Source organism: Homo sapiens, chromosome 5 (genome assembly GCF_000001405.40).
Source record: "Homo sapiens chromosome 5, GRCh38.p14 Primary Assembly".
In the NCBI taxonomy this organism is placed as follows: Eukaryota; Metazoa; Chordata; class Mammalia; order Primates; family Hominidae; genus Homo; species Homo sapiens.
In genome coordinates, this window is record NC_000005.10 from 69,216,469 (window position 1) to 69,231,548 (window position 15,080).

Here is a 15,080-nt window from a genome sequence, read left to right on the forward strand (position 1 = left end):
GAAACTCTGTCTCTACCAAAAATACAAAAATTAGCCAGGCGTGGTGGCGGGCGTCTGTAATCCCAGCTACTGGGGAGGCTGAGGCTGGAGAATTGCTTGAATCCAGGAGGCAAAGGTTGCAGTGACCTGAGATCACGCCACAGCACTCCAGGCTGGGCAACAGAGCGAGACTCCGTCTCAAAAAAAAAAAAAAAAACCACAAAAACAAAACAAAACAAAACGGGTTAATGGCCTCTCTGTAGTCACTGAATCCCAATAGACCATACCTGGGTTCAGTAATTTATATTTCTAAAAAGATCCCAAGACTTAGAAATCACTGATGTATATCATCAAACACATTGGTCAAGCTTACAATACTATATATAACCTAAGCATTATCACAGAACGTAATGTAACTTTTTTTTTTTTTGAGACGGAGTCTCCCTCTGTCGCTCAGGCCGGAGTGCAGTGGCACACTCTCGGCTTACTGCAACCTCTGCCTTCTGGGTTCAAGCAATTCTCCTGCCTCACCTCCTGAGTAGCTGGGACTACAGGCGCCCGCCACCACGCCCGGCTAATTTTTGTATTTTTAGTAGAGACAGGGTTTTACAATGTTGGCCAGTCTGGTGTCGAACTCCTGACCTCAAGTGATCCGCCCGCCTCAGCCTCCCAAAGTGCTGGCATTACAGGCGTGAGCCATAGCGCCCCGCCCGTAATGTAATTTTGGGGGAAAGATATGAGTGGCTTACATTTCAAATATTTCTGAATTTTTGAGTTATCTCAACTTGAAGCAAAGGCCCAGCAGTTCGATATCAGGAGTAATAAACGGTAAAGAAAACAGAAACAAATTACAATCAAGCAATGCCAATCAGCAAGAGAGTGTGACATGGCCCTTTTTAAGCCAGAGTAAACTCTTGTGAGCTTGCCACTAACTCCCATTTTAACGAAATTATTCATTTTAGGAAACCGCAAGGTTTTTTTTTTGTTTTTCTTTAATTTTTTTAATCTTTGCAAGAGCTGTCAGATAAGAAGGTTGTATTATTTATTTGGTTCCAGATAAAATTTTGAACTATATCGAAATTATAGACTGGCTTTCTGGAAAGGAAATGGTCCTAGACAATTTATAGGCTAATGAGCAGAGACCCACCTTAACAAAATTTTGTCCCCAAAACGAAACAATAGAACACACGTGGGTGGATCCTAGTAGGGAGAAGGGGTGGGCGGGGTCAGGCACAGGGGGCGGAGCCAGCCCCACGGCGGAGGAGAGCCCAGTCCGGTCTCCGCCTCCGTGACGTCCCGGGAAGCACCGCCCACAGCTGCCCGGGACTCCAGTGATCGCCGCGGCTCGCTCGCGCCCCGGAAACTGCCCCTTCTCGGGGGTCATGATGGGCAGCAAGATGGCGTCTGCTAGTAGGGTCGTTCAGGTAAAGCAATTTGTCGCGTTTCCGCATCTTGGGCGGTAGGGACGGTGCTGACTATGGCGACGGCGTCGGGGAGTAAAGGCGGTGGCAGAGGCAGAGCGGTGACCGCGCCTCTGCGGAGGGCCAGTGACGGCGCCCGCGGGTGTGTGTGAGGATGGGACTTTGAGCCTGTTGGACCGGGCAGTGAGGTGGGTCCGGCGCCGAGGGTTCGAGCCTTGCGGCAACCGTGCAGCATCTTGGCAGGTAGGTCCTGTACCTACTGCCGGGATCCCCCGCTCCTCCGCCAGGACCTTGTTAGTCTTAGGCGTGTGCGGGTGAGGCGACCCTGGCGGTAGCCTGGCCAATCGCCGTCTAGGATTGGCTGTGGTGCCCCCGATCAGCCAATCGGAAGGAAGGCGGTAGCGGGGCGTGGAAGGAAGCGAACCCTGGATCTGACCCACTGTCCCTTCAAGGTCTCGGGAATGGTCGGGCAACTGGCCCCGCGTACTGCGTCCTCGCCGGAGCGGGTTCTCCCCAACCTCTCCAAGCGTCTGGCTACAGGCCAGATGAGGGAAATAGAAAAGTAAACTTAAGTTTAATTAGTATGTGTGTGTGTATATTAATGTGTGTGTGTGTGTGTGTGTGTGTGTGTATAAGCGTTGGTTTCACAAGCCTATTTTCCCCTGGTTTAGATAGACAGCTAAAGTAACTTTGTTAATCCACCTATCAGCTACTAACTCCTGATAGCCTTTTTATTTGTTTCTTCAGCTGTGGTTCTAACTTAGGTAAAATTATTATATAAGTGGAACACAACCTCCACTTTTGTGGTTGGTTTACATAGTCTTTGAACCCTGAAACTATATTATTTTATAATTGACTTTTATCTTTGATATGAGAAGTACATTCCGCTTTATATAAGTACATCTCTTAAAAGACCTTTTTCTAAATTCCTGAAATTGTTGTCTGAATGATAATCCTAGATCCCAGTCTTTGGTCCCATTGCAATGAATGATCCTTACTTATTCAGTAGGTAGTTACTGAGCATCAACTAGTTAAAGATTCTGTAAGGACTGAGAGACTGACAAAGGTCTGTTATCCATAATATATAACCATATGTATCAATAATATATAACAATTTAAAAATGGGTAAAAGACTTGGCGTGTTGCACAAAAGATACCCAAATGAGCAATGAACATTTTAAAAGGTGCTCAATATCATTACTTGCCAGGAAAATAAAAATTAAAACCATGAGGTCCTACACATCCACCAAAATGACTAAAATTTAGACGTCAGTGGTGATGAGAATGTGAAGCGTCTGAAACCCTCAATATTGCTGGTGGGAATATAAAATGTTATAGCCACTTTGGAAAGCTGTCAGTCTCTAATAGTTAAGCATGTATCTACCGTATGACCCAGCAATTCTACTCATAGGTTTATTGCCCAAGAGAAGTGAATGCACATACTGTCTCTGTACGTAAATGTTCACAGAAAAAAAAGAGTTACTAGCAAAGAACTGGGGTCCAGAGCTGAGGGGTTCCAGCCTGGCAGCAGGAGTGTGGCATCTCAGCAGGCAGGTACTATATATACTGCCATGGGGTCCCTGGCTCTATTTCTGATAGCCCCCAAACCACAAACAATCTCTATGTCTGTCTTTTGCATAAACAAATTGTGGTAGTTTGTTAAAATAGTACAGTCCAAAGCAATACTAACAGCTGATGTGTGCAAACAAATGAAGAAACTGTGAGATATACAGTAAGGAATGGTCTGTGCCCTTCTAACATAGGAACAAAGACCTGTACTCACCTATTTAGAATTCAAATCAGGTTCGTGATTGCGCTCTTAAAAAAAAAGAAAAAAAGAGAGAATACAACCAATATGCTAATATAATATCACTTGAGCCTAGGAGTTTGACGCTGCAGTGAACCACAATCACCCCACTGCACCCCAGCCTGTGTAACAGAGCAAGACCTGGTCTCGAAAAATAAATAATAAAGTATGTGCTAATATTATGTAATAATTACATATAACATTAGCAAAATTTGTTGAGTATCTCTGTGACAGGCCTATAAAGCTAGGACTACAGTGCCAGTTAGAGTTTAGGCCAGGCTCACTGATGTATGCCTGTAATCCCAACACTTTGGTAGTTTGAGGCAGGAGGATGGCTTGAGCCCAGGAGTTCAAGACCAGCCTGGGCAAAATAGCAAGACCCCATCTCTATAAAAATTTTAAAAAATTAGCTGAGCATGGTGATGTGCACCTGTGGTCCCAGCTACTCAGGAGGCTGAGGTGGGAAGATTGAGCCTGGGTGATCAAGGCTACAGTGAGCCATAATCATGCCACTGCATTCCAGCCTGGACAGTAGAGCTAGACCCTGACTCAAAAAAAAAAAACAAAAAAACATAGAGCTTAGAATTTGGTTGTTGATCCATATCTTGAAGGAAGAGAAGAGTGCCAAAAGACTGATTGGTACAAACTGATAGGAAGTCACAAAGCGTGGTCTCAGAACATTAAGTAAAGACAAAGCCAGCTGGGCACGGTGGCTCACACCTGTACTCCCAACACTTTGGAAAGCCAAGGTGGGAAGATTGCTTGAGCCAGGAGTTCAAGATTAGCCTAGGCAACATAGCAAGACCCCATCTCTATAAAAATTAGCCAGGCAGCCGCCCCGTCTGGGAAGTGAGGAGCGCCTCTGCCCGGCCGCCCCGTCTGGGATGTGAGGAGCGCCTCTGCCCGGCCGCCACCCCGTCTGGGAAGTGAGGAGCGCCTCTGCCTGGCCGCAGTGCAATCTTCCAAGTGTGAAGTGACAGCCTTTCTGCAGGTGTACCCAACAGCTCTGAAGAGACAGCAACCATCGAGAACGGGCCATGATGACGATGGCGGTTTTGTCGAAAAGAAAAGGGGGAAATGTGGGGAAAAGAAAGAGAGATCAGATTGTTACTGTGTCTGTGTAGAAAGAAGTAGACACAGGAGACTCCATTTTGTTCTGTACTAAGAAAAATTCTTCTGCCTTGGGATGCTGTTAATCTATAACCTTACCCCCAACCCCGTGCTCTCTGAAACGTGCTGTGTCCACTCAGGGTTAAATGGATTAAGGGCGGTGCAAGATGTGCTTTGTTAAACAGATGCTTGAAGGCAGCATGCTCGTTAAGAGTCATCACCACTCCCTAATCTCAAGTACCCAGGGACGTAAACACTGCGGAAGGCCGCAGGGACCTCTGCCTAGGAAAACCAGAGACCTTTTTGTTCACGTGTTTATCTGCTGACCTTCTCTCCACTATTATCCTATGACCCTGCCACATCCCCCTCTCCGAGAAACACCCAAGAATGATCAATAAATACTAAAAAAAAAAAAAAAAATTAGCCAGGCAGGAGGGGTAGTGTGTGGGTGTGTACCTGTAGTCCTAGCTACTTAGGAGGCTGAGGTGGAAAGATCACTTGAGCCCAGGAGTTTGACGCTGCAGTGAACCACGATCACTCCACTGCACCCCAGCCTGTGTAACAGAGCAAGACCTGGTCTCAAAAAATAAATAATAAAGTAAAACATTTTCAGACTGGCTAACAAATGAAAATCCAGTGCTATGCTATTTATAAGAGGCATAGCTAAAACTAAGATTTGGAAAGGTAAAAATAAAGAGATAGTCAACTGATCTTTGACAAAACGAGCAAAGGGAATACAATGGAGAAAAGATAGTCTTTTCAACATGGTGCTGAAAAAATTGGATATCCATCTAGACACAGACCTCACGTTCTTCACAAACATTAACTCAAAATGGATCCTAGACCTAAATGCAAAATGCAAAACTATAAAACCCTTAGAATATAACATAGGAGAAAATAAAAATAACCTTAGGTTTAGGAATGACTTTTTAGATATAACACCAAAGGCATGATCCATGAAAAATTAATTGATAAGCTGGACTTCATTAAAATAAAAAATTCTGCTCTGTGAGACACTGTCAAAAAAAGGCAAGCCACATATTGGGAGAAAATACTTTCAAAAGACATATCTGATAAAAGACTATTATAGAAAACATAAGGCTGGGCACGGTGACTCATGCCTGTAATCCCAGCACTTTGGGAGACCAAGGCGGGCAGATCACCTGAGGTCAGGAGTTCGAGACCAGCCTGGCCAACATGGCAAAACCCCATATCTATTAAAAGTACATTTGTATAAGTATATAATACATATTTACATGCCTATACAGTTAGACCTAACTTACAAATGGTTTATTCACGTATTTGGCAACTGTTACTTGGGCATTTACCATGTAACAGGAATGCTACTGCAGAAGTGCTTAGTTTTCTGTCTCTGACTGTCCAGGAGCTTAGTGCTCTTCTATAATCATTGGCTAACTTATCTGTCCTCTGAAAACATAAGGAGAGTTTTTAACTCAGACTTTGGAATTTGGGAAAGGTTCTTAGAGAAGAGTGACATTTGAGCTGTTGTAAAGGATAAGCAGTCAGAAGGATAGGCATGGAAGTGGAATGGGATAGGAGGGAGATTTCATGGCAGAGGACGTAAGCTGTAGATGGAATGAGGATAAATAGGATGAATTGGGGAAAGGAAAAATACTTCAGAATACTTGGAGCAATGGGTACATAAGACAGTAGGGGAGAAAGGCTGGCAAAGTAGGGAGAGGCCAGATCACAATGGGTGTTGTGAGTGCCAAAGAAGAGTTTGAACTTTATCCTGAAAGCTGTGGAACATTTTTCAAACTTCTTTTTTTTCTTCTTTTAAGTTGTAGAGAGGGAGTCTCATCTTCTTGCTCAGGCTGGTCTCAAACTCCTGGGCTCAAGCCGTCTTCCCAAAGTGCTGGGATTACAGGCATGAGCCACTGACCTCAGCCAGTTTTCAAACTTCTAAATAGGGGAGTGATGATAGGATAGATAGAACATTCTCTTAAGAAGCTTGGCTATGAAAGTGAAGAAACAGTTAATAGAGAAGTTTTTTTTTTTGAGACAGAGCCTCTCTCTGTCACTCAGGCTGGAGTGCAGTGGCTCGATCTCGGACTTCCACTCCAGGGTTCAAGCAATTTTCTGCCTTAGCCTCCCGAGTAGCTGGGATTACAGGCGCCCACCACCACGCCCGGCTAATTTTTTTATTTTTTTAGTAGAGACAGGGTTTCACCGTCTTGGCCAGGCTGGTCTTGAATTCGTGACCTCATGATCCACCCGCCTTGGCCTCTCAAAGTGCTGGGATGACAGGCGTGAGTCACGGTGCGCAGCTTTTTTTTTTTTTTTTTTTTTTGAGACAAAGTCTTGCTCTTTCACCTAGGCTGGAGTGCAGTGGCACAATCTCGGCTCACTGCAACCTCTGCCTCCCAGGTTCAAGCGATTCTCCTGCCTCAGCCTCCCGAGTACCTGGGACTACAGGTGTGTGCCACCACGCCTGGCTACTTTTTTTGTATTTTTAGTAGAGACGGGGTTTCTCCGTGTTAGCCAGAATGGTCTCGATCTCCTGACCTCATGATCCACCCACCTCGGCCTCTCAAAGTGCTGGCATTACAGGTGTGAGCCACCATGCCCGGCCGAGAAGTTTTTTAGCATGGAAGACTTGAGCATGATTTTATGGTGAGGGAGAGAACACATTCCAGCATTTTCTCACAGCCACAGAATTACAGTGGTGAATTTTTAGGCCAATCCCATACCTATTTGCTTCTGTGCCCACATAAAATGCATAATATGTACTACAAATATATAAATATATTGCAGATAAACCCACCTCAGTCTTATTCGTTACATAGCAATTTATAGATTAGTTGAAAATAGTACTTTGTTCATTAGATTCTTAGCATTGTATATTCAGAAGATTTCATATTGACAGGTCCATTTAAGGTCCTCTGTACCACTATCTGGAATTTTACGGACAAAAATGTTAATACTTTTCAAACATCTGTTCCAAAAACAGTATTCCAAAAATATGTATTCCAGGCCAGGCATGGTGGCTCACGCCTGTAATCCCAGCACTTTGGGAGGCCGTTCGAAACCAGCCTGGCCAACATGGTGAAACCCTGTCTCTACTAAAAATATAAAAATTAGCCGGGTGTGGTGGCGGGCACCTGTAATCCCAGCTACTTGGGAGGCGGAGGCAGGAGAATCACTTGAACCCTTGAGGCGGAGGTTGCAGTGAGCCATGATTGCGGCACTGTACTCCAGTCTGAGTGACACAGCAAGACTCTGTCTAAAAAAAAAAAAAAAAAAGTATTCCTATGGGTATAGGAAAAAGACTAAAATAAAGTGCTATCAAATGTTTTAATTTGGGCCGGGCATGGTGGCCCATGCCTGTAATCCCAGCACTTTGGGAAGCCGAAGCAGGTGGATCATTTGAGGTCAGGAGTTCAAGACCAGCCTGGGTAAAATGGGGAAACTCCATATCTACTAAAAATACAAAAATTAGCGGGGTGTGGTGGCGCAGGCCTGTAATCCTGGCTACTCAGGAGGCTGAGGCAGGAGAATTGCTTGAACCTGGGAGGCGGAGGTTGCAGTGAACAGAGATTACGCCACTACATTCCAGCCTGGGTGACAGAGGAGACTCCATCTCAAAAAAAAAAAAAGTCTTTTATTTGTTTTACGTGGGTCTTGGGATTATAGTGTTTTCTTCTTTGTGCTCTTCTGTGTTCTTCCAAATGTTTTACACAGAATTTGTGTTACTTTTGTAGTCAAAAAAAGTATTCTTTAATTTTCTAATTTTCAAAATGATTGTTTTTTCTTCCCTGTTAGGTATTAATATAGTAGGGAAATAACACTCAAAACAAGTCAGGAGGCCAGGTGCAGTGGTTCATGCCTGAAATCCTAGAACTTTGGGAGGCTAAGGCAAGAAGATTGCTTGTACCTAGGAGCAGGAGGCGGAGGTTGCGGTAAGGCCACATCATGCCAGTGCACTCCATCCTGGGCAACAAGCCAGACGCTGTCTCAACAAAAAATTTAAAAAGTCAGTAAATTTCTGCCGGGTGCGGTGGCTCACACCTGTAATCCCAGCACTTTAGGAGGCCAAGGTGGGCGGATCATGAGGTCAGGAGATTGAGACCACCTTGGCTAACACGGTGAAACCCCGTCTCTACTAAAAGTGAAAAAAACTAGCCGGGCGTGGTGGCACGTGCCTATAGTCCCAGCTACTCGGGAGGCTGGGGCAGGAGAATCGCTTGAACACAGGAGGTGGAGGTTCCAGTGAGCTGAGATCGTGCCGCTGCACTCCAGCCTGGGCGACAGAGTGAGACTCCGTCTGAAAAAAGAAAAAAAAAAAAAAGGCAGTAAATTTCCAGTGTTTTTTCTTTGAGATGGGGTCTCACTCTGTTGCCCAGGCTGGAGTGCAGTGGCAAGATCTGAGCTCACTGCAACCTCTGCCTCCTTGGTTCAAGTGATCCTCCCACCTCAGCCTCCCAAGTAGCTGGAACTACAGGCACATAGCACCACATTTTTTTTTTTTTTTTTTTTGAGACGGAGTCTCGCTCTGTGGTCAGACTGAAGTATGGTGGCACTATCTCTGCTCACTGCAACCTCTGCCTCCTGCGTTCAAGCGATTCTCCTGCCTCAGCCTCCTGAGTAGCTGGGATTACAGGTGTGCACTACCACCATGCCCTGCTAATTTTTGTATTTTTAGTAGATACGAGGTTTCACCCTGTTGGTCAGGCTGCTCTCGAACTCCTGACCTCGTGATCCACCTGCCTCAGCCTTCCAAAGTGCTGGGATTACAGGTGTGAGCCACCATGCTCAGCCACCTTTTTTTTTTTTTTTTTTTTTAAGATGGAGTCTCACTCTGTAGCCCAGGCTAGAGTGCAGTGGCACGATCTCAGCTCACTGCAACCTCTGCCTCCGGAGTCCCGGTTGGTTCAAGCAGTTCTCCTGCCTCAGCCTCCCAAGTAGCTAGGATTACAGGCACGCATCACCATGCCCAACTAATTTTTGTATTTTTAGTAGAGATGGGGTTTCACCATGTTGGCCAGGCTGGTCTTGAACTCCTGACCTCGTGATCCGTCCGCCTCGGCCTCCCAAAGTGTTGGGATTATAGGCGTGAGCCATCACACTGGGCCTTGTTTTTCTTTTTGTTTTTGTTTTAATTTTTGGTAGAGACGGGGTTTCACCATGTTGCCCAGGCTGGTCTCAAACTCCTGCACTCACGCAATCTGCCTGTCTGGGCCTCCCAAAATGTTGGGATTACAGGCATAAGCCACTGCACCCAGCCAGCTTTCATTCTTACCAATCTATAAGTCATGCAACATAAACTCTACATCATCTCCTCCATTGGGTTGCTTTGAAGTGAAGTACACCTTCGATAGTACAATGAAGTCTTGTGATATATAAAGTACAAAGTTGTGTTTACCGGGTAGACAAGTTAATAATTCATAGACCAGCTTTCCTGGTTGGGGAAGAGTATAATTTAAAGTTGCTGTAAAATAGTAATTTTAACAAACGTATCTACTTATGAGGTTTAGTAGATCATTTCTTTTAGTTAATGAGATTGTTTTTCATGCATATTACTTTTCATTTAGGTAGTCAAACCACACACTCCATTAATAAGGTTTCCTGACAGAAGAGACAATCCTAAACCCAATGGTGAGTTGTATTTTATTTAAATTTCTTTTAAAATTGTGTACATGAATATTTATAAATGAGTATTTTATTATAGGCAATATTTCTCATTTTAAAATCAGTTAAGACTATTGTAGCTTAGATCAAAATAGTGCCTTATGTAGCATGCAAGTAGAAATTAACTTATGGCTGGGAGCGGTGGCTCACGCCTGTCATCCCAGCACTTTGGGAGGCCGAGGCACGCGGATCACCTGAGGTCAGGAGTTCAAGACCAGCCTGGCCAACATGGTGAAACCCTGTCTCTACTAAAAAATACAAAAAATTAGCCAGGCGTGGTGGCGGGCTCCTATAGTCCCAGCTACTCGGGAGGCTGAGGCATAGAATTGCTTGAACCCACGAGGCGGAGGTTGCAGTGAGCTAAGATCATGCCACTGCACTCCAGCCTGGGTGACAGGGCAAGACTTTGTCTCAAAAAAAAAAAAAATTATTACCTCTATTTTATTTTATTTTTTGAGACAGGGTCTTGCTCTGTCGCCCAGGCTGGAGTGCAGTGGTGCTATCTTGGCACACTGCAGTCTCCCCCTCCCGGGTTAAAGCAATTCTCGTGCTTCAGCATCCTTAGTAGCTGGGATTACAGGCATACACTAGCACGCCTGGCTAATTTTTGTATTTTTAGTAGAGACAGGGTTTCACCATGTTGCCTAGGCTGGTCTCGACTCCTGATCTCAGGTGATCTGCCTGCCTCCGCCTCCCAAAGTGCTGGGATTACAGGCATGAGCCACTCACCTGGCCTTTATTACCCCTATTTTAAAAGGTAGTGACTCAACAGAAGATGTCTCTGAATTTCTAGTGAGTTTATATGGGCAAAATTTTGTCCTACCTTTATTCTCTCCTATCCTTTAGAAGATTCTCCCATGCTTACATTTGCAGAGACTGGGAAAATAATAACCATTCCTGTTTCTCTCCTCACCAACCATCTTTTCTTTCATTCATTCATTTATCTATTCATCTAGTCAGTAAATATTTTTTGGATTGCCTTAATCCTTAGCATTTATTCAAAATTAATGGGAGAAGATTCTGAAAGGGTTCTGTTTTTCTCTGATTCCCGCCCTTTTTTAAAAAAACCAGATCCTCTGTGCCTCTCTTGATCTTTAATTCAGGCAATTTTAACACATTTTATAGGTATATTTTTAACTTATTGTAACTATTGAAGAATTAAGATGTTTAAACAAGTGTAAAGATATTGAGAAAACTACCCTCATTTACATTTACTGACTTTCTTATTCCTTATTGTAAGATATTACCTGTAAACTCCACCATGTGTTGGCCTATGAGGGGTTATGTGACATAAGCTTAAGTAGTGTAGGTTCCCCTAAAGGGTTGAATTCCACTAACTAGAAATTTCATTATTTTACATTTTTGTAATTCATTTACTTAAGACTGCCCCTTAGCTGGGTGCAGTGGCACATGCCTATAATCCTGACTACTCACAGGCTGAGGTGGGATGGCTGGCAGGATGTTTGCTTGAGCCCAGGAGTTCAAGATCAGCCTGGGCAACAAAGCAAGACCCCATCTGTAAACAATAAATGTATAAAAATTTTAAAGCTACCTCCTTATTTGTTTTTAAAAACCTTTATGAAATTATATATAGCCAACTGAGTTACTCTACAATATTTACCTTTTGGAATTATAATACTTCAAGAGTTATTTGAAGAATGACTTCATTTCAAGAATGACTTGATTATTTGATAGTATTTTAAGACTCAGTATTTTGACATCTGAACAATTTCTCTAATAAGGTCTTTTTTTTTTTTAATTTCAGTATCAGAAGCTTTGAGATCAGCAGGGCTACCATCTCACTCTTCTGTAATTTCACAACATTCTAAAGGAAGTAAATCACCAGATTTGCTGATGTATCAGGGTCCACCAGACACTGCAGAAATAATAAAAACATTACCTCAGAAATACAGAAGGAAACTTGTGTCTCAAGAAGAAATGGAATTTATCCAAGTATGTCGTTGCTCTTTATCCCAAGACTACGCAAAACACCATAACATTTGGGCTTTGGGGATTTCATTTGCTGATTTACATGCTATTCCTATTGTCTTGTCAGAGTGTGGTCAGAGCTAAGACAGGATGGTCAGGTAGGCCAAGACTATGAGAAAGAAACCATAGTCAAATCCCTCTGTAAATATGCATGATATATCAATATCAATAGATATAATCACATAAAAAACAGCTCTTTGGGGTCCTGAATAATTTTTCAGAGTGTAAAGAGCTTCTGATACCAAGAAATTTAAGGACAGGTCAACCTTGAGTCCCTTCCAGGTCTGAAATTATAAGAATTGATAAGAGGGCTGGGCATGGTGGCTCATGCCTGTAATCCCAGCACTTTGGGAGGCCAAGGCAGGTGGGTCACCTGAGGTCAGGACTTGGAAACCAGCCTGGCCAATGTGGTGAAACCTCGTCTCTACTGAAAATACAAAAATTAGCTGGGTGTGGTGGTGGGTACCTGTAATCCCAGCTACTCGGGAGGCTGAGGCAGGAGAATCTCTTGAACCCGGGAGGCGGAGGTTGCAGTGAGCCAAGGTCACGCCACTGCACTCTAGCTTGGGCAAGAGTGAAACTCCGGAAACTCCATCTCAAAAAAAAAAAAAAAAAAAAAAAAAAGAATTGATATGAGTACCCAAAAGTTTTGACTAATTCAAAACTATTTTTTAAAAACCAAAGATTACTTACTGAAGATTGTATAAATTTGTAAAATTGCCATCAAAACATTTCCTGAGTCAATTTAACATCTAATCTTACTGCTTTATTTTTTCCTTTTCAGCGTGGAGGTCCTGAATAACCATGGTGGCTGCTGTTTGTCATCAGACAATAGAATTGTCTTTACAATAAAGGACTTCCAAAATGACAGATGAGAAACTGTATATTAAACACCTTTAATAAATATTATGAAAAAAATGAAATATAGAAAATTTAGATGGACACTTGTATTTCCTAATTTATGTATCTTGGTCAGCTTCTCCACAAGCTTACCTAATTGTTTATATACTTTATACTTATTAAAGTATACATTTTTAAATGTTAGCCTATTAATTTACTCTTGATTATCAAACATTACCAGTGTTGAACTATTAAAAGCACACAATGTGTAGTAAACTATCATAGGATTCCCATAATTTCACTTTACTTTCTGTTTAGGCATGGAAAAATTTATCAGTCAGAATTGCTGTTTTAGGGACATGATTTTCCTGAAATTGGGTGAGGATCAGTGAAATAATTACTCTATTACTTGTTCTTAATTCTCTGTTCTCTAATGTTTTTTCATTCACAAGTTTACTGGAGTATAACTGGCTTAGTAAGTATATCCTACTCTGAATGATAAAAATATAGTCAAGCTAAAATAGGTGACTATACTATTAAGATAGAGATCATACAAAAGATTCCAAAGAAAGTCAAAAAGTGTAAAATGGAAAATAAGAGATCAAAATGAATATAGCATAGGAATAAAGATTTCACTAGAAATTGCAATTTATTATGTTTTGGAGGTTGTAAGGAAGTCTTGTTTTTTGGTTTATTTTACTGTTTTGTGATCTTGTATGCAAATCCTGATAACCATTAACCTTCTCAAACTTAATGTCTGAGAGCCTCATAAAATCAACATATTTACTTATTAAGCAGTTTATGAAACTTTAATGGGGCCCCTCCTGTGCCAAGGGTACGTATATTGTGAAGTAAAGCCTCACAAAGCTAAATAAATTCTCTTCCATACCTTTAATGATTTCTAGAATATGCTTTAAAGAAGTCCTCCCTGAGAGTTAAGGGTAGGTCATGAGCAAGAAATAGAATTGGCTTTGAGTATGCTTCTGTATTTACTCAGTTGACTGTGGGTTAATTTTTACTTATTTCTACTACTCCACAGAGTTGATCTACTTCTCTTATAAATTTTTTGCTGTGGCCTAGTGTAAATGTTGTTCAGCACAAATATGAGAGTTTGATGCTGGCAATAAGCTGTTCAGGTGACTCATTGAAAAACATGATTCAGGCCAGGTGCAGTGGCTCATGCTTTGTTAATACCAGCACTTTGGGGAGCCAAGGCAGGTTGATCACCTGAGGTCAGGAGTTCAAGACCAGCCTGGCCGGCAGGTGAAACCCCGCCTCTACTAAAAATACAAAAATTAGCCAGGCAATGTGACACACACCTATAATCTCAGCTACAGGGAAGCTGAGGCCAGAGAATCACTTGAACCCAGGAGGCAGAGGTTGCAGTGAGCCAACATTGTGCCACTGCATTCTAGCCTGGTCAACGGAGTGAGACTCCATCCAAAAAAAAAGAAAAACATAATTCATTTCTTTTTTTTATTATTTAAAAATTTATTGCCAGGCACAGTGGCTCACGCCTGTAATCCCAGCACTTTGGGAGGCCAAGGCAGGTGGACCACCTGATGTCAGGAGTTCAAGACCAGCCTGGCCAACATGGTGAAACCCCATCTCTACTAAAAATACAAAAATTAGCTGGGCATGGTGGCAGGCGCCTGTAATCCCAGCTACTCAGGAGGCTGAGGCAGGAGAATTGCTTGAACCCAGGAAGTGGAGGTTGCAGTGAGTGGAGGTCACACCACTGCACTCCAGCCTAGGCGACAGAGCAAGACTCTGTCTAAAAAAAAAACAATTATTTGGGAAAATTACTTTAGCAAAAGAAAGCCCAGGGCCAGGCCGGGTGTGGTGGCTTATGTCTGTAATCCCAGCACTTTGGGAGGCCGAGGCGGGCAGATCACCTGAGATCAGGAGTTCAAGACCAGCCTAGCCAACATGGTGAAACCCCATCTCTACTAAAAATACAAAAAATCAGCTGGGCGTGGTGGCGGGCGCATGTAATCCCAGCTACTCAGGAGGCTGAGGCAGGAGAATTGCTTGAACCTGGGAGCCAGAGGTTGCGGTGAGCTGAGATTGCACCATTGCACTCCAGCCTTTCCAGCCTGGACAATAAGAGAAAAACTCCGTCTCAAAAAAAAAAGCCCAGGACCATTATTTTGCTTTCAGAAATACATTCGGATTCAGGTAGTGAAGAGTGGTATGAGTAATACTGTGAGCCAACAGTTAGAAATCCTAATACCGAACTGTGGATGTATATCTGAGGGCAATCTTTACTACAGCTGCTGCCGTGA

The 15,080-nt window shown here is 43.1% G+C and overlaps 1 protein-coding gene across 1 annotated transcript, besides 2 other annotated features; it reads left to right on the forward strand.

Moving 5' to 3' along the window:
* Nucleotides 1-1,291: 1,291 nt before the first annotated feature.
* KGD4 (alpha-ketoglutarate dehydrogenase subunit 4) lies at nt 1,292-13,690 on the forward strand. Its single transcript, NM_033281.6, has 4 exons — nt 1,292-1,403; nt 9,870-9,933; nt 11,732-11,919; nt 12,740-13,690. Exons 1-4 carry the CDS (start codon nt 1,362-1,364, stop codon nt 12,755-12,757), a joined length of 312 nt encoding a protein of 103 aa, NP_150597.1. The 5' UTR covers nt 1,292-1,361; the 3' UTR covers nt 12,758-13,690.
* Nucleotides 1,574-1,868: an enhancer, noted in NCBI's record as "tiled region #69; HepG2 Activating DNase unmatched - State 1:Tss, and K562 Activating non-DNase unmatched - State 1:Tss". NCBI's record gives its function as "activates a minimal TATA promoter and a strong SV40 promoter by Sharpr-MPRA in HepG2 and K562 cells {active_cell/tissue: HepG2 | K562}" and the evidence as "EXISTENCE:reporter gene assay evidence [ECO:0000049][PMID:27701403]".
* Nucleotides 3,517-4,141: an enhancer, noted in NCBI's record as "H3K27ac hESC enhancer chr5:68515812-68516436 (GRCh37/hg19 assembly coordinates)". NCBI's record gives its function as "activates a minimal SCP1, AML or CMV promoter by ChIP-STARR-seq in primed H9 embryonic stem cells {active_cell/tissue: H9 hESC(primed)}" and the evidence as "EXISTENCE:reporter gene assay evidence [ECO:0000049][PMID:30033119]".
* Nucleotides 13,691-15,080: the final 1,390 nt, after the last annotated feature.

What these genes read in the sequence shown, in the direction of transcription:
- KGD4 (NM_033281.6), top strand. Translation starts at nt 1,362, where the DNA reads ATGATGGGCAGCAAGATGGCGTCTGCTAGTAGGGTCGTTCAG. An exon ending in CTGCTAGTAGGGTCGTTCAG is followed by an intron (nt 1,404 to 9,869) that starts GTAAAGCAATTT and finishes CTTTTCATTTAG; the next exon opens with GTAGTCAAACCACACACTCC. An exon ending in AGACAATCCTAAACCCAATG is followed by an intron (nt 9,934 to 11,731) that starts GTGAGTTGTATT and finishes TTTTAATTTCAG; the next exon opens with TATCAGAAGCTTTGAGATCA.